This window comes from Homo sapiens, chromosome 9 (assembly GCF_000001405.40).
Source record: "Homo sapiens chromosome 9, GRCh38.p14 Primary Assembly".
In the NCBI taxonomy this organism is placed as follows: Eukaryota; Metazoa; Chordata; class Mammalia; order Primates; family Hominidae; genus Homo; species Homo sapiens.
In genome coordinates, this window is record NC_000009.12 from 133,442,579 (window position 1) to 133,459,905 (window position 17,327).

The 17,327-nt window shown below is 55.7% G+C and overlaps 1 protein-coding gene across 13 annotated transcripts in view, besides 5 other annotated features; it reads left to right on the top strand.

The window, feature by feature from the left end:
• The window catches only part of ADAMTS13 (ADAM metallopeptidase with thrombospondin type 1 motif 13), a 45,050-nt gene extending 28,242 nt beyond the window's left edge, over positions 1 to 16,808 (top strand). For 7 of the 13 annotated variants that reach the window (XM_017014233.2, XM_017014232.2, NM_139025.5 and 4 more), the window contains 12 exons: positions 36 to 165; positions 798 to 983; positions 2,285 to 2,474; positions 3,121 to 3,241; positions 6,021 to 6,150; positions 7,205 to 7,387; positions 11,837 to 12,041; positions 12,707 to 13,025; positions 13,491 to 13,637; positions 13,965 to 14,141; positions 15,332 to 15,516; positions 16,396 to 16,808. In XM_017014233.2, the coding sequence (XP_016869722.1) occupies positions 36 to 165; positions 798 to 983; positions 2,285 to 2,474; positions 3,121 to 3,241; positions 6,021 to 6,150; positions 7,205 to 7,387; positions 11,837 to 12,041; positions 12,707 to 13,025; positions 13,491 to 13,637; positions 13,965 to 14,141; positions 15,332 to 15,516; positions 16,396 to 16,602 (2,180 nt within the window). In that variant the 3' untranslated portion in view covers positions 16,603 to 16,808. Of the gene's footprint in view, positions 1 to 35; positions 166 to 797; positions 984 to 2,284; positions 2,475 to 3,120; positions 3,242 to 6,020; positions 6,151 to 7,204; positions 7,388 to 11,836; positions 12,042 to 12,706; positions 13,026 to 13,490; positions 13,638 to 13,964; positions 14,142 to 15,331; positions 15,517 to 16,395 lie in introns of those variants that run through there. The other 6 variants (NM_139027.6, XM_047422699.1, NM_139026.6 and 3 more) reach the window with 4 other exon arrangements.
• Positions 13,875 to 14,027: a silencer, noted in NCBI's record as "fragment chr9:136321575-136321727 (GRCh37/hg19 assembly coordinates)". NCBI's record gives its function as "represses an EF-1alpha promoter that drives an FKBP-Casp9 reporter gene in an ReSE screen in HepG2 liver carcinoma cells {active_cell/tissue: HepG2}" and the evidence as "EXISTENCE:reporter gene assay evidence [ECO:0000049][PMID:32094911]".
• Positions 14,478 to 15,345: an enhancer, noted in NCBI's record as "H3K4me1 hESC enhancer chr9:136322178-136323045 (GRCh37/hg19 assembly coordinates)". NCBI's record gives its function as "activates a minimal SCP1, AML or CMV promoter by ChIP-STARR-seq in naive and primed H9 embryonic stem cells {active_cell/tissue: H9 hESC(naive and primed)}" and the evidence as "EXISTENCE:reporter gene assay evidence [ECO:0000049][PMID:30033119]".
• Positions 14,869 to 15,163: an enhancer, noted in NCBI's record as "tiled region #9315; HepG2 Activating non-DNase unmatched - State 10:DNaseD". NCBI's record gives its function as "activates a minimal TATA promoter and a strong SV40 promoter by Sharpr-MPRA in HepG2 cells {active_cell/tissue: HepG2}" and the evidence as "EXISTENCE:reporter gene assay evidence [ECO:0000049][PMID:27701403]".
• Positions 16,996 to 17,215: a silencer, noted in NCBI's record as "silent region_20459". NCBI's record gives its function as "represses an Ori minimal core promoter by ATAC-STARR-seq in GM12878 lymphoblastoid cells {active_cell/tissue: GM12878}" and the evidence as "EXISTENCE:reporter gene assay evidence [ECO:0000049][PMID:35858748]".
• Positions 17,226 to 17,325: a silencer, noted in NCBI's record as "silent region_20460". NCBI's record gives its function as "represses an Ori minimal core promoter by ATAC-STARR-seq in GM12878 lymphoblastoid cells {active_cell/tissue: GM12878}" and the evidence as "EXISTENCE:reporter gene assay evidence [ECO:0000049][PMID:35858748]".

A 17,327-nucleotide genomic window follows, 5' to 3' on the forward strand; every position in this document is an offset into this window, starting at 1 on the left:
AGGGAGGCGGCCTAGCCCTCCCTCTTCCCTCCCAGGGCTGCGCTGGGTAAACTACAGCTGCCTGGACCAGGCCAGGAAGGAGTTGGTGGAGACTGTCCAGTGCCAAGGGAGCCAGCAGCCACCAGCGTGGCCAGAGGCCTGCGTGCTCGAACCCTGCCCTCCCTAGTGAGTGTGGTGCTGTCTGCGCAGCTCCAAGGGGGAGAGAGGGTTCCGCTGGGGCTGCTGGGCTCTGTCCCTGGCCTATGGGGCCCATGTGGCAGGGCCGGGCTGAGCTGCTCCTGTGCAGGCTCTCATTACCCCTGCCCACAGCCCTGCAAGGGGGGCTCTGTGAGTGCCCCCATTCTGCAGGTGAGGACACTGAGGCTTGGGGCAGACATGGTGACAATGTCAGCCCAGTGGGACCCACACCTGCTGCCACCTTGTCTGGGCCACCGAGGCCTCTCTTGAGCTCAGGTACTCATGGTGAGATGGAGGTGATTGCCTACCTGGAGGGTTGTAGGGAGACTTGCGGAGCTCCTGGTGCAAAGCCCCTGGCTGTCACCACACCTGACGGGGCACACTGTTAGGGACGAGGCCATTCCTGCTGGGTGCAGGACAGGGCAGCTGCTCACCAGCCTGTGATTCGGTTGTCCTCAGGCTCAGCCGTCTGGCAGCCTGGGAACACCTGGAGAGGCTAGGCTGGCCGTAGTGCCCATTGCTTGTCCCAGACCGGGGGAGTACATCAGCACCTGCCACCCCATCACCCCAGGCCAGCCTGGGACCTGGCCAGGGTCCCGACGCTCTGTCTCCTTCCTCAGCTGGGCGGTGGGAGACTTCGGCCCATGCAGCGCCTCCTGTGGGGGTGGCCTGCGGGAGCGGCCAGTGCGCTGCGTGGAGGCCCAGGGCAGCCTCCTGAAGACATTGCCCCCAGCCCGGTGCAGAGCAGGGGCCCAGCAGCCAGCTGTGGCGCTGGAAACCTGCAACCCCCAGCCCTGCCCTGCCAGGTGAGCCCAGGGCTAGGTGGGGCTGGGAGAGGGCCTTCCTGGCAGAGCTCGTCCCTGCGCTGAGCCCCCATCCTTCTGAGAATCCCCTCCTCCTGAGGCCTCCGGCGGGGCCTCACCATCCAGGGTGATGGGCAGTGTCACCTGGCGGTTGTAAGTGCTGCTGTCAGAGTTCCTTACTACCCAGGAGAGCCTGGGCCCATTGTTTCCCTCTCTGAGCTTCCGAGCCCCTGCTCTGAAATGGGGATGCCGACCTGCCTGGGGAGGGGGGGCTTCGAGGATGAGGTCAAACTGAACGGAGTGGGAGATGTCACTTTCTCATCACCACCATCTCCCCCGTGCCCACGTGGCTGCATCTCATCCCCTCAGTGTCCAAGTTGACAGTGGCTTATCATCCTGCCCTGCCACTAACGAGCTGAGTGACAGGGCAAGTCCCCTCCTCTGTGGGCTTCAGTTTTGCGACCTGTCCGGTGGGAGGGGATTGGTCTGGATTGTTGGTGGCCCACTCATAGCTCTGGACTCCTTTCCCCGCCTCGTCATCCGTGGCAGACAAAACAGTCACCACTCTTCCCCGCTGAGGCCAGATAGGGCCTCAGAATCCTTCTCACACAGCTCTCCAGGCAGCCACTTTAGCGCAGGGCTGACTCACAGCTGAAACCCATTGGCCACCCTTGAACCTGGTGATCCAATTCCATGTGGCACCTGTTTCTCTGCACCTGCTATGGTGCATGGAGTCAGTGATTACCTGGCTGGAGGTCGGCCTCTGCCTCTGGAGAGTAGGAGGGATGGGTTCTCTTTTTTTTTTTTATTAAAAGACAGAGTCTTGTTCTCTCACCCAGGCTGGTATGCAGTGGCATGATCTTGGCTCACTGCAACCTCCTGCCTCAGCAAGTGTGCGCCACCAAGCCCAACTAATTTTTGTATTTTTTGTAGAAACAGGGTTTTGCCATGTTGCCCAGGCTGGTCTCCAACTCCCGGGCTCAAGCAGTCTGCTCACCTCAGCCTCCTAAAGTGCTGAGCTACCGTGCCTGGCCAGGGATAGGTTCTGTCTCTGCACCCTGGGTGCAGGTGGGGTGCCTGACTGTTGAGCAGCGAGTGCTTGTTGAATGGGAACCTGCTGGCTGATGAATGGGGAACCCGGTGCTTCAGGGAGAGACCCTGAGCTTCACTTCTCTGTGGGGCTCCTCTTTGGGCTCCTGGATGTTGGGGAGCAGGTCCCCTTCCTCCCTGCCCCTAGCAGCTGGGCTATACCTTCCCCTGGGTGGCAGAGGCAGGGCCTGATGACTGTCTCATGCCATCCTCAGGTGGGAGGTGTCAGAGCCCAGCTCATGCACATCAGCTGGTGGAGCAGGCCTGGCCTTGGAGAACGAGACCTGTGTGCCAGGGGCAGATGGCCTGGAGGCTCCAGTGACTGAGGGGCCTGGCTCCGTAGATGAGAAGCTGCCTGCCCCTGAGCCCTGTGTCGGGATGTCATGTCCTCCAGGCTGGGGCCATGTGAGTGCCCTGGGCATGAGGGTGGCTGGGGCTGTTGAGTCCTTTACCTGGCTGGGAGAACGAGGAGCACCCATTGCCACCGTCCTCCAGGCCAGAGCAAGAACACCATCCTTCTGTGGGAATGCTGTCTGAGGGCCACCCCTGCTCAGAAAAGAAGCTTAGAAAGAGGGCTCAGGGCCCCTGGGAAGGCTCCCATTCCCCTTGCAAGCCGGGCTGAGGGAAGCATCTGAGGAGAGTGTAATGCAGCTGCTGTGCAGAGAAATGCTGCCAGGCTCCCGCCTGGCGTCCAGGGGCTGGAGGCTGACTGGCCTTGCTCTCTGGCCTGGGTGCTGGCAACCCTCGCCCCTCATGGCTGGGGGGATTGCAGGGCCAGGCATGCTCCCATGTCCCACTCTTGGTCCCCAGCTCTCGGCCAGGCCCACAGTGAGCACTCATGCTGCTGAGGAGCCTGCAAAGGTGGGGTGTGCAGCAAGGATACCCGCTGCGAGACCGGGGAGCCGATCTCGCCAAGGGAGGAGGGGAGGGAGCCCCTGGTGCACACACGCCACTTCCTGGTCTCTCTGCTGCTGCCTGAGAAGATCGAGACGGGGATCGCTGGGTCCTCAGAGGAGGCCCAGACCCACCAGCTTGTTGCTATTCCCCACAGCTGGATGCCACCTCTGCAGGGGAGAAGGCTCCCTCCCCATGGGGCAGCATCAGGACGGGGGCTCAAGCTGCACACGTGTGGACCCCTGCGGCAGGGTCGTGCTCCGTCTCCTGCGGGCGAGGTGAGGGCCCCCGGGATGCTCCTGGGGACCAGCACTCATGGTAACTCTCCTGTCCACTTGCATCTTGCCTCGTTCTGAAAAGCATTTGAGGTGGATTGCAGAAAATCCAGACTATATGGGAACACGTGGTAATACACAAGGAGACTAAGCATAGTAGCTGACAGCCACTTCAAATGTGGGTGTTGATTGGCTGAAAGGTAGGAAAAGACAATAACGCCCGGCAGTGTGGCACGAGAGCCATTCCTTATGGTCCTAGCAGAGCGGCCGGGGGGTCCCCAATTGATGACCCGAGCAGAGAAACCTTAGCTTTAAGATACACAGCGTTCTTCTATTTTCCCAATCTTGTTTTATTGCAGTATAACACAGATATTATAAAATTTACCATCCAAACTGTTTCTCCCTGTGCAGGTCAGTGGCATAAAAGCACAGTCACATTGTTGTGCGGCCATCACCACCAACCTCTCCAGAACTTTTCCAGTTTCGCAAACTGGAGCTCTGTCCCTGTGAAACACGAACTCCCATTTCCCCCTCCGCAGCCCCTGGCAACCTCCATTCTCCTTTCTGTCTCCAGATTCCACAATTCTAGGGACCTTGTAGAAGTGGAATCATATAGCATTTGCCTTTTTGTTACTAGTTTTCACTCAGCATGATGTCCTCACAGTTCATCCATGTTGTAGCATGTGTGAGTGTTTCCTTCTTAAGGCTGAAAAAGATTCCATTGTGAGTGTATCCTTTACAGGTTTATCCATTTATTCATCAGTGGACACTTGGCTTCCTTCCACACTTTGGCTATTGTGAATAATGCTTCTGTGAACATGGGTGTGCAAATATCTGTTTGAGTTCCTGCTTTCAGTTCTTTTGGGTGTATATCTAGAAGTGTGGTAGCTGGGTAAGATGAGAATTCTATGTTTAATTTTTGTGGAACTGCTGGACTGTTTTCCCCAGTGGCTGCACCATTTTACATTTCCACTAATGGTGCATAAGAGTTCCAATGTCCTCCCATCCTTGCCAACACTTTTTATTTCTATGGTTTTTTTTGTTTTTGTTTTTGTTTTTGAGACAGAGTCTCATTCTGTTGCCGAGGCTGGAGTGCAGTGGCATGATCTTGGCTCATTGTAACCTTCGCCTCCGGGGCTCAAGTGATTCTCGTGCTTCAGCCTCCCGAGTAGCTAGGACTATAGGCGTCTGCCACCATGCCTGGCTAATTTTTTGTTTAGTAGAGATGGGGTTTCACCATGTTGGCCAGGCTGGTCCCAAACTCTTGACCTCAGGTGATCTGCCTGCCTTGGCCTCCCAACGTGCTGGGATTACAGGCGTGAGCCCCCACACCTGGCCTATTTCTGTGTTTTTTTTATAATGGCCATCCTAATGGGCTTGAGAAGACACACCATGTTCTTAAACGAAAACCCTGACCACTTGCTCAGTAAAATGTCAGCCTGTTTAAAACCGAGACCAAAAAGAGATTTCTTTTTCTCTCTTTTCTTTTTTGAGACAAAAAAGAAAACCTCTGTCACCAGGTTGGAGTGTAGTGGCACAATCTTAGCTCACTACAACCTCCACCACCTGGGCTGAAGCCATCCTCCCCCCTCAGCCTCCTGAATAGCTACTATACCCTGCTAATTTTTGTAGTTTTGGCAGAGATGGGATCTCCCTATGTTGCCCAGCCTGATCTCCTGAGCTCAAGCGATCCTTCTGCCTCGGCCTCTCAAAGTGCTGGGATTATAGGCATGAGCCACTGTGCCCAACCAAGAGATTTTTTTTCTTTTTCTTTTTTTTCTTTTTTTTGAGACTAAGAGTTTTCCTCTGTCGCCCAGGCTGAAGTGCAGTGGTGTGATCTTGGCTCACTGCAACCTCCGCCTCCCATGTTCAAACGATTCTCATGCCTCAGCCTCCTGAGCAGCTGGGACTCCAGCTATGTGCCACCACACCTGGCTAATTTTTTGTATTTTATTTTATTAGAGAGGGGGTTTCGCCATGATGGCCACGCTGGTCTCAAACTCCTGACCTCAGGTGATCCACCCGCCTTGGCCTCCCAAAGTGCTGGGATTACAGGCATGAGCCACTGAGCCTATTTCTTTTGAGGATATTCCTAAAAGAGAGACTTGAGAAAACTGGCCCTAATAACATCTTTATGATAGACACAATCAGAGATTTTCATATTGTGATTTTTTTTTCTTTTTTTTTTTTTTGAGATGGAGTCTCGCTCTGTCACCCAGGCTGGAGTCCAGTGGCGCAGTCTTGGCTCACTGCAACCTCTGCCTCCTGGGTTCAAGTGATTCTCCGTCTCAGCCTCCTGAGTAGCTGGGATTACAGGTGCGCACCACCACGCTCAGCTAATTTTTGTATTTTTAGTAGAGACGGGGTTTCACCATGTTGGTCAGGCTCGTCTCGAACTCCTGACCTTGTGATCCGCCGCCCAAAGTGCTGTGATTACAGGCGTGAGCCACTGTGCCTGGCCCATATTGCAATTCTTATAATGCCTCTCGGTCAACAATAACAGCTACCATTTGTCAAGTGTCTACTGTGTGCCAGGCACTTGTTATCTTCCCTTTTAAAAATCTTTATAAATGATTCTGCAAGGTAGATGCCATTATCTTTTTTTCTAAATCTAAGATTCAGAGGGTTAAGTCAGTTGTCTGAGGTCACACAGCTGGTAAGTGGCAGAGCCGGGATTGAAACCCATGCGGGCCTTATGTGCTAGAGGTGTCCAGTGAGCCTGGGCTGCAGTCCTTGCTGAGCCTGTCCCTTGGGGCTCTGGGTCTCTGCTTTGTCCACGCAGGTCTGATGGAGCTGCGTTTCCTGTGCATGGACTCTGCCCTCAGGGTGCCTGTCCAGGAAGAGCTGTGTGGCCTGGCAAGCAAGCCTGGGAGCCGGCGGGAGGTCTGCCAGGCTGTCCCGTGCCCTGCTCGGTGAGTGAGGGGAGCAAGACTGTGTGCTGGCCTTCTCCCTGTAAGTGGGAGACCCGAGCCTTGGCTCCATGCCCGGTGACCTGCGGAGGGGGGCAGGTGCTGCTGGCTGTGCACTGTGTGAGGCTGGACCATGGCCGCCCCATCCCCCTGCCTCACTCCAAGTGCAGGCCAGAGCCCCGGCCCAGCCCCTTTGAGGACTGCAACCCAGAGCCCTGCCCTGCCAGGTGGGCCCCTTCCCAAGGAGACAGGGGGTGCTAGGTCTGCATCCTGGCTCTTTCCTCACCTCCAAGCCAGACCTTTTGACCCTCAGTGTCCTCACCAGTGGGAGCAGGTCATTTTGTGCCCCCAGAAGACTGGGGGAGTTTAATGAAAGGATTAGATGCATGTAAAGTACATGCTAAATGCAATGAGTGTAAAATGCATGCTCGATGCAACGCGTGTAAAGTACATTGCACAGGATCTGGGATGCTGTGGGTGCACATGGTTGCTGGTGCGTTTCTTCATCGCCTGCTCTTTATGGAGCACCTAGGCCCCGGGGCCGTCCTGGAGCTAGGGGACACAGCAGAGAACAAGGCAGACAAATGTCCCTGACCTCCTGGAGCAAATGCAGGGGGAAAGGGGGACAGATAATAATAGGACAGGCGGGGAATGCAGTTTGATGGATGGTGTTCAGTGCGATGCAGCCAAACACAGCGGGAGGGGAGGAGGGGAGGGCTGGCGGGGTGGGCTCCAGGGCGGTGGTGCTGGGATCACTGTTGAAGACAGACATGCAGGGCCCTTGGGTGCCCGGACCCCTGCCCCCACTGTCTCTGGGATACGACATCTGTCGTTTGCCCTCACCTTTCTCTTCTGTAAAATGGGTTTGTCCAAATGTTCTGTCCACTCTGCCAAGCCTCTTGGTGAGGACACAAGGGGGCCTCCAGAAAGAGAACCTCTCCGGGCCCTTCCCAGCTTCCTGTCTCTTCCTAGTCTGGGGAAATGAAGGGGAGACCTGGCTCCCCTGGGTTCCCAGGCCCTGGGGCTGTTTGGGGTCCCTGACTCCAGTTTGCTCCAGGTGGCAGTACAAGCTGGCGGCCTGCAGCGTGAGCTGTGGGAGAGGGGTCGTGCGGAGGATCCTGTATTGTGCCCGGGCCCATGGGGAGGACGATGGTGAGGAGATCCTGTTGGACACCCAGTGCCAGGGGCTGCCTCGCCCGGAACCCCAGGAGGCCTGCAGCCTGGAGCCCTGCCCACCTAGGTGAGTCAGCCGGTGATGGGAGGGGCAGCTCCTGGTGTGTGCAGATGCCAGGCCAGGCGCTGTGGTGTGTGCCTGTAATCGCAGCTACTTGGAAAGCTGAATCAGGAGAACCACTTGAGTCCAGGAGTGCAAGTCCAACCTGGGCAACACAGTGAGACCTCATCTCTAAAAAAAAAACAAGACGGGGCCAGGTGTGGTGGCTCACGCCTGTAATCCCAGCGCTATGGAAGGCTGAAGCGGGTGGATTACCTGAGGTCAGGAGCTTGAGACCAGCCTGGCCAACATGGTGAAACCCCATCTTTACTAAAAATACAACAATTAGGCTGGGCGCGGTGGCTCACTCCTGTAATCCCAGCACTTTGGGAGGCTGAGGCGGGCAGATCACCTGAGGTTGGGAGTTCGAGACCAGCCTGTCCAACATACAGAAACCCTGTCTCTACTAAAAATACAAAATTAGCCGGGTGTGGTGGTACATGCCTGTAATCCCAGTTACTTGGGAGGCTGAGGCAGAATCGCTTGAACCGGGGAGGCCAAGGTTGTGGTGAGCCAAGATTACGCCACTGGACTCCAGCCTGGCTAACAGCAGCAAAACTCCATCTCAAAAAAAAAAAAAAAAAAAGAAAACCCACAAAAATTAGCCTGGCGTGGTGGTGTGCACCTGTCATCCCAGCTACTTCAGAGGCGGAGGCAGGAGAATCGCTTGAACCCGGGAGGCGGAGGTTGCAGTGAGCCGAGATGGCGCCGCTGGCACTCCAGCCTGGGCTACAGAGCGAGACTCCGTCTCAAAAACAAAACAACAAAACAAAACAAGACGGGGTGGGGGGCTCAGTGGCCCAAGAGCCAGTCTGTAAGGAATAGGGCTACCTGGCAGGCTGTGCTAGTTGTGGGAGGTGAAGTTTAAGCACCATGCAGGCAGGGTGCAGTGTGGGGAGGCCTGGGGGACAGAGGAGGCAGCATTTGAGCAGAACCTAAAGCTGTGAGCACCAGCATTCTGATGTGGAAGACGGGAGGGATGGAGGTCTCCACAGGGACACACACAGCCACACTAGGACACGGGACAGAATCATGTTCAAGTCCGTGGGGTCCGGAGCCCAGTGGTAAAGGGCGAACATTTGCCTACCTCATTTACAATTCTTTAATGGTTTCTTTTTGTAGGTTTGCATTTTTAGTAAAGAAATACTTTTCTATATCATACAGAAACGTCCAGAAAAGAATGTAACAGACATGTATGTTCCAGCACTCCAGTTTAATAGATAGCATCCTACTGCCATGTTTCCTTCCTGTCCACTTACTTTTATTTATTTAATTTATTTATTTTGAGACGGAGTCTCGCTTTGTTGCCCAGGCAGTGATGCAATCTTGGCTCACTGCAACCTCCGCCTCCCGGGTTCAAGCCATTCTCCTGTCTCAGCCTCCCAAGTAGCTGGGAATACAGGCACCCACAACCACACCCAGCTAACTTTTGTATTTTTAGTAGAGACAGGGTTTCACCATATTGGTCAGGCCGATCTTGAACTCCTGACCTCAGGAGATCTGCCTACCTCAGCATTCCAAAGTGCTGGGATTACAGATGTGAGCCATCACACCTGGCCAGCCTCCTTAGTTTTAAATAAATCCAGTTACAGATAAGATTTCACTTAAATTTAGGCTGGTCATGGCTCACGCCTGTAATCTCAGCACTTCAGGAGGCTGAGATGGGTGGATCATTTGAGCCCAGGAGTTTGAGACCAGCCTGGACAACATGCCAAAACCTTGTCTCTACTATAAATACAAAAATTAGCCGGGCATGGTGGTGCATGCCAGTATCCCCAGCTACTCGGGAGGCTGAGGCAGGAGAATCACCTGAACCTTGGGAAGTCAAGGCTGCAGTGAGCAGAGATCACACCACCACTGCATGCCAGCCTGGGCAACAGCATGAGACCCTGTCTCAAAAAAAAAAAAAAAAAAAAAAGATTTTACTTAAATTTAAACCCTGTACTAATCTGTGATTTATTTGGAGTATGTTGCAAAGTAGGGACCAAAGGATTTTTTTTTTTTTCTAAATTGTTAACTAGCATCTGTTGGACAAGCCCTGATGCCTCCAGGTGGCTCCTTGGTGGTATTGGTGTGTGTTAGAATCTATGTCTGGGCTTTCTACTGGGTTTTTTTCTTCTCCTTTTTTTTTTTTGAGACAGTTTTTCTCTGTCACCCAGGGTGGGGTGCAGTGGCGCGATCTCAGCTCACTGCAACCTCCGCCTCCTGGGTTCAAGTGATTTTCATGCCTCAGCTTCCCGAGTAGCTGGGATTACAGGTGCCCGCCACCACCCCCAACTGATTTTGTGTTTTTAATAGAGACAGGGTTTCACTATGTTGGCCAGGCTGGTCTTGAACTCCTGACCTCAAGTGATCTGCCAGGTTCTGTTTTTTGTGCTTTTTTTTTCTAGCTATTCTCTTGCCCATACAAAATTGTTTTAAATGTTGTAGCTTTATAACCATTTAACATCTGTGTCACTAGTGTGTCCTGATTTCTTTGCCTATGCTAAAGTCCCTTGGCTGTGTGTCCCATTTATTTTTCCACATCACATTTAGAGATGATCTGGGATTTTATGGGAATTGCAGGGTTTTTCACACTGCACGCTGCCTGCATGGTGCTTAAACTTCACCTCCCACACCTAGCACAGCCTACCAGGTAGCCCTGTTCTCTACAGACCACCTCTTGGGCCACTGAGCCTCCCCTCACTTTTTTTTAGAGATGGGGTCTCACTATGTTGCCCAGTCTGGACTTGAATTCCTGGGCTCAAGTGATCCTCCTGCTTCAGCCTCCCGAGTAGCTGGGATGCAGGCACACACTACATGAGCTCTGGCCATCCCTCTGACGTTGCTGTAGCCACGCTGGCCTCATTGTCCTGGAACATTCCAGGGATACTCCCCTGACTTAGGGCTTCTGTGCTAGCTCTCGCTGCCTGATGTCTTCTGTGGATATCCTCGAGGCCCTGGATATCCCTCCCCCAGGCTCGGCTCAGACACCACAACTCCAAAGTGGCCCAGTGCCCTCCCTGAGCGTCGGTCCAGAACGGCACTCTCGTCCCTCCTGTGACGCTCTGCTTGGCACTTTGGGAGGCTGAGGCGGGAGGATTGCTTGAGCCCAGGAGTTCTAGACCAGCCTGGGCAACATAGTGAGACCCCGTCTCTACAAAAAATACAAAAATTGGCTGTGCGCGGTGGCTTATGCCTGTAATCCCAGCACTTTGGGAGGCGAAGGCGGGCAGATCACGAGGTCAGGAGATCGAGACCATCCTGGCTAACACGGTGAAACCCTGTCTCTACTAAAAATACAAAAAATTAGCTGGGTGTAGTGGTGGGTGCCTGTAGTCCCAGCTACTTGGGAGGCTGAGGCAGGAGAATGACGTGAACCCAGGAGGCGGAGCTTGCAGTGAGCTGAGATTGTGCTACTGCACTCCAGCCTGGGTGGTTGCAGTGAGCTGAGATTGTGCCACTGCACTCCAGCCTGGGCGATGAGTGAGACTCCATCTCAAAAACAAAAACAAACAAACAAAAATTACAAAAATTAGCCAGGCATGATGGCACATGCCTGTAGTCTCAGCTACTTGGGAGGCTGAGGTGAGAGGATGGCTTGAACCCTGGAGGTTGAGGCTGCAGTGAGCCGTGATCACACCACTGCCCTCCAGCCTGGGTGACAGGGCGAGACCGTGTCTCAAAGAAAACCATTAAAATAAAATAAAAAATAAAATTTCTGCGATGCACACGACAGCCTCCACAGCAAATCAGCATCCAGTTGCTCATGCCAGTGATGCCCCAATGGAGAACAATCCACGCTCTGAGAGGAGGTGGGGTCTGGTTTGGTTCACTGCCACCTCCCAGTGTCATGTAGAACAGTGCCAAGCCGCGGAAGGCACGGGTCCAAGAGGCAGCGCTGCAGGGTCATGGGGGAGCACAGTATTGCGATGAAGATCCCAGCTCCCTTGCAGGCTGCCTGGGTTTGTGTCTGGGCTCTGAAGAATGCGGGCCATAATTAGTTATTGATTGATTACAGATCAACATGGGCAGCCTTCCCTTGCCCAAGGGAAGGGAACTCGGCCTTCCCTTGCAGAACGTGGGGTGTTGAGATCTGTCTCCTGTTACCCAGGGGCTCGCTTCCTGTTGCTGTTACTTGGGTCCATAGGCAACCCCTGGGGTGCTGACAGGTGTTCTGTGATAAAGGCGACTAGAGGGGGATGTGCAATTAGGGAAACAGGGGCCTCTTCCCCCTAGGGCCTTTTGGTAGCTCTCCTGTGGCCGTGAGCCCTGGCCCCAGACAGGAGGGGCTCAGTGGCTGCACTTTCCATCTTGCCTGGCCACGGAAGCTGTCTAGGCAACTGTCCGAGTACACGTGGGTGGAGAGGGGCCTGCGTGGGGCAGTACTGTCTCTGGGGAGACCTAGCCTCTCTCTGGGGTCTTCTCTTCCTGCAGGTGGAAAGTCATGTCCCTTGGCCCATGTTCGGCCAGCTGTGGCCTTGGCACTGCTAGACGCTCGGTGGCCTGTGTGCAGCTCGACCAAGGCCAGGACGTGGAGGTGGACGAGGCGGCCTGTGCGGCGCTGGTGCGGCCCGAGGCCAGTGTCCCCTGTCTCATTGCCGACTGCACCTACCGCTGGCATGTTGGCACCTGGATGGAGGTGAGCACAGCGGGCACTCGGAATCCCTATGGGGCTGGGGTGGGCATCAGCTGTGGCTCCTCATGTGTGAGGGAGTCTAGGAGGCATTGGCTCATCGTGTCCCCTGAAAGGAAGGAGAGAGCTGCGCCCGTTGGTGAGGGGGCACCTAGAGGCAGAGAGACAGAGGGCCTAGAGACCTGCGGGCAGCTAGGACTTAAGAGGCCCTTAGGTTTGGGGACGCTGGAAGATGAATGGCAGGCCACTCAGCTCTACACAGATGAGGGAATGCCAGCTGTGCCACGCACCTGGCAAGGCAGGACAGACAAGGGTAAATGGGGTTCAGGCTGCCCCCTGGAGGGGCTCGCTCATGGTGTGGAGGGGGCATAGGGGCACAGCAGACAGAGATGAGCCGCAGCCCCGCAGACCTGCTTGCTCTAAGGCTTGGAGGGACAGAGAGGCCGTGAGGGTGACAGGGACCCAGACTTGAATTATGGCTCCTCCCACCTATATGACCCATGCAAGGTGCCCTCTCTGAGCCTCAGTTTTCTCATCTGTGGAATGGAGACACTTAACTGCCTCCCAGCTTGTACAAGGATTATATTGGATCACTCCTGGCCTGTGGTTACCACTGTCCTTGTCACCTTCTGGCAGGGTCAGCTGTGACTCCTCCTCCCCTCTCTTGGCAGTGCTCTGTTTCCTGTGGGGATGGCATCCAGCGCCGGCGTGACACCTGCCTCGGACCCCAGGCCCAGGCGCCTGTGCCAGCTGATTTCTGCCAGCACTTGCCCAAGCCGGTGACTGTGCGTGGCTGCTGGGCTGGGCCCTGTGTGGGACAGGGTACGCCCAGCCTGGTGCCCCACGAAGAAGCCGCTGCTCCAGGACGGACCACAGCCACCCCTGCTGGTGCCTCCCTGGAGTGGTCCCAGGCCCGGGGCCTGCTCTTCTCCCCGGCTCCCCAGCCTCGGCGGCTCCTGCCCGGGCCCCAGGAAAACTCAGTGCAGTCCAGTTATGTCCTGTCCTCCTTCCTGTCAGGCAGCTGCTGCAGGAGGGGTGGGCAAAGGCATCTTCCTCTGGGAAGGACTGGCACAAGCACTTGGTCCCTGGGTTGTGTGCCTGGGAGGCCGGGATCAGGGCTGGCCCTCTTTCTCCCTGGCAAAGCAAAACCTCCCTTTTACTACTATCAAGGGGAAGTAACTTGAAGGTAGGAACCCAGCTTGTGAGCCCCCTAGCCTCTGGGCTGCTCTGCATGTGCCCCCTCTTGCTGGATCATCTGGTAGCAGCCCTGTGCCCTGAGGGTGATGCTCTGACCTATGCAGCCCCCCTCCCTGTCCTGAGAAGGCTTCCAGCTGGGCCTTGGAGGACAGGGTCCACCCCTACCTCCTGGTCTCCTTCCTCAGCTTGGAAGCCCCGGAGCCTGCCCTGCTGGGAATCGGGGAAGCACTGCTTACCTGTCTCCTGCTCCCTTTTCAGGTGCCTGTGGCAGGCAGCACCTTGAGCCAACAGGAACCATTGACATGCGAGGCCCAGGGCAGGCAGACTGTGCAGTGGCCATTGGGCGGCCCCTCGGGGAGGTGGTGACCCTCCGCGTCCTTGAGAGTTCTCTCAACTGCAGTGCGGGTATGTCTAGGGCCATGCAAGCGATGCTGCCAGTTATGGGCCCTGCCAGGAGCCAGCACGACGCTGCATGCCCCATTCCTGGCAGGAGCCCATGTGCATTCCCACCTGTAGTTTGCATCCCATCTCATGACTGGGGAGTGATGATCTGCATTTTACAGATGAGGAAACTGAGGCTAGGAGAGATTAAGTGATGTGCCCAGTTACTTAGAGTCACATAGCCAGCAGTGGGAGAGGTGGGACTTGAACTCGGCTCAGTCTACCCTGGAGCCACTCCTCTGCTGACCAGGCGTGGGAGTGCTGGACCCTCACTGCCCTGCCGCTTCCTAGGGGACATGTTGCTGCTTTGGGGCCGGCTCACCTGGAGGAAGATGTGCAGGAAGCTGTTGGACATGACTTTCAGCTCCAAGACCAACACGCTGGTGGTGAGGCAGCGCTGCGGGCGGCCAGGAGGTGGGGTGCTGCTGCGGTATGGGAGCCAGCTTGCTCCTGAAACCTTCTACAGAGGTATGGCCAGGCCTTCTCCACCTCCCTTGGGTGCTCCAGTCCTGGCAGGGAGGCTGGGTGGGTGCTGCTGGGGATGGGGCCAGTCCCAGTGGGGCAGTGGGAAGATACGGAGGGAACTGACTGAGATGGAAGGAACTGGGGTTGGCCAGTGTCAGTCTGCACGTGCCAGGGAGGGGTCACAGGATGAATGCTATATCCCTCCTTTTTGGGACCGTGCAGCAAGATGGACGGATGTGGGACATGGTCCACATCCTCAGTCAGTCCCTCAGGCCTCTGCCCCACACCCACCTGCCCCGCCCCCACCCCTCCAGCCTTTCAAGGGCTTTTAGGGTTTTGTGGAAGCCACTGTCCCTCAGCCCTGTTTCAGTGCACTGGTGTAAGCAGACATGCTTGTACATGCATGTGCACCCACAAGCACACCTCAGGCAGAGGATGCCACCTCAGGGACTCCAGCCTTGCCCGTGGCCCCCTCGATATCCTCTGATAGCCCTCTCGGTTGTCCTGGGGGGCTTGCCCTCTCCCAACAGCCCGAGCTGGCCGAAGTTGGCTTCCCTAGCTGGTTCCAGAGGTTCCTCGGCTCCCCCAGGTGTCTGGGGCTTAGTGGCAACAGGGGCTTAGCCTCTGCAGAGACCTAGTGCGCCGCCTCCTTGCCCCAGACCTGCCCGGGCAGAGAGCCGTGTATGTGTCCCAGTGCACAGGCGCTGCTGGGCCCTGCCAAAAGGCCACAAGCCCACTGTCACCGTTCACATTGCTTCTCGCTTCCCGGCCCAGCCCCGCCCACACAGGCATCTGCCTTGAAAGAGGTGCAGGAGGTACAGGCAGGTGGGGGCTCCAGTGAGCTCTGAGGAACAGCAGTGGCCGCCATGGGTGGAGCCTATCTTTGTTGCCAGTTTCAGTGTTAAACACTCTTGCACGTGTGACATCATTGAGTCCTAAAGACCACTCTGCTCAGTGCATGCCATTGTTTCCTTCAGTTACAGAGGAGGGAACCAGAGCCCAGAACATTTAGCCTTTGCCTAAAGTCACTGGGCCAGGAAGTGGTAGAGGTGGGGTTCAGCAGGATTTGCCTGGGAACCCCAATATTGACCACAGTGCCATGCTGCCCTGCACGGCTCCCTGGCTGTGAGTTGTCCTGGCCTCTGGCACCACCGGTCTGTCTGGGTTCCTATGTCCCTATGTCCCACCTGCAGAATGTGACATGCAGCTCTTTGGGCCCTGGGGTGAAATCGTGAGCCCCTCGCTGAGTCCAGCCACGAGTAATGCAGGGGGCTGCCGGCTCTTCATTAATGTGGCTCCGCACGCACGGATTGCCATCCATGCCCTGGCCACCAACATGGGCGCTGGGACCGAGGGAGCCAATGCCAGCTACATCTTGGTGAGGCCCAGCATGGGGACTTGTGCTGTGATTCTGGACAGCTTTCCCTAGGGCGTGCAGGGCTAGGGGACCCCCTTCAGTTTATTTCAGACTAAAACCCTCAAAATCATTAGTGAAAGAATGGGAGAAGATAGCTTCCTCCACATATTCACCAAGAAATGTTTTTTGAGCTACCTACAAGAGTGAAATAGTGGCTCACAACTGTAATCCCAGCACTTTGGGAGGCCCAGGAGGGCAGATCACTCAAGGTCAGGAGTTCGAGACCAGCCTGGCCAACATGATGAAACCTTGTCTCTACTAAAAATAGAAAAAGTAGCCAGGCATGGTGGCGTGTGCCTGTAATCCCAGCTACTTGGGAGGCTGAGGCACAAGAATCACTTGAACCCGGGAGGTGGAGGTTGCACTAAGCCCAGATCGCACCACTGCACTCCAGCCTGGGCAACAGAGTGAGACTCTGTCTCAAAAAAAAAAAAAAAAAAAAAGCGAAATGGTAAAGAATGGTAAAGACCTTTCTGATGTAGACTGACAGCTAACCCAAGACTGAAGCATAATTTTACAGTCTGATATAACTTGGACAGAATAGCACCCTGCACCCTCCCCGAGGTTTCAAGTGTCCTGGGAGAACTGTGTTCTGCAGGGTATCAGCTTCCCCAGAGGAGGCAGCCTGGCCCCGCTCTGGCACCCTGACTGTGTGTCCTTGGGGAAGTGATGTAACGTCCCTGGACCTCGGTTTTCTGGGTAGAGTAATGGCGTATTCCTAGTAGGGCTTTGTAAGCATTAAATGTGATCCGGAATCTGTGAGCCCTTGCACACGAAGGCTTCCGTGAGTGCTAATTATTACTTGTGGCCGGTCCTTCTGGGCTGCCCCTTTTCTCTCAGATCCGGGACACCCACAGCTTGAGGACCACAGCGTTCCATGGGCAGCAGGTGCTCTACTGGGAGTCAGAGAGCAGCCAGGCTGAGATGGAGTTCAGCGAGGGCTTCCTGAAGGCTCAGGCCAGCCTGCGGGGCCAGTACTGGACCCTCCAATCATGGGTACCGGAGATGCAGGACCCTCAGTCCTGGAAGGGAAAGGAAGGAACCTGAGGGTCATTGAACATTTGTTCCGTGTCTGGCCAGCCCTGGAGGGTTGACCCCTGGTCTCAGTGCTTTCCAATTCGAACTTTTTCCAATCTTAGGTATCTACTTTAGAGTCTTCTCCAATGTCCAAAAGGCTAGGGGGTTGGAGGTGGGGACTCTGGAAAAGCAGCCCCCATTTCCTCGGGTACCAATAAATAAAACATGCAGGCTGACCGGCGTTTTTTTCTTATAAGCTGTCCAGACCTGGCTTGAAAACCCATCCCATGGCAAGGCAGGGATTCGCTGGCCGCGGTTGGCTCTATCTTGATCTGAGCAAGCCGCTGGACGTCCCTAGTTATCTTCTTCCTATCCAGGAAGAAAATCCAATCAGGATTCCACTCCGAGGATGGCGCATTAGCCAGCTCCCTGCGAAGCCCCACCCGTGTGTCCTGGTGTGAGGCTCTGACCGCTAAGGTGTCTGCGCGCCTCCAGGCCCCGCCCCCTATGCTAATAAGCGCCCGCCTCCTTTGGGAGCAAGTCGCCGCAAACTGCGAGCCCCCGCCCCCTACGCTAATGACGCCCGCCCCCCTCGGGCACACCTCTCCGATGCCTGCGAGCCCCGCCCCGTATGCTAACGAGCTCCCCACCCCCAGCTCCTCGCCGCAGCCTGCGGGTCCCGCCCCCTACAATAATGAGCACCTACCTCCCCTCAAACGCCCCTAGTCGCGGCATGAGGGTCCCGCTCACTATGT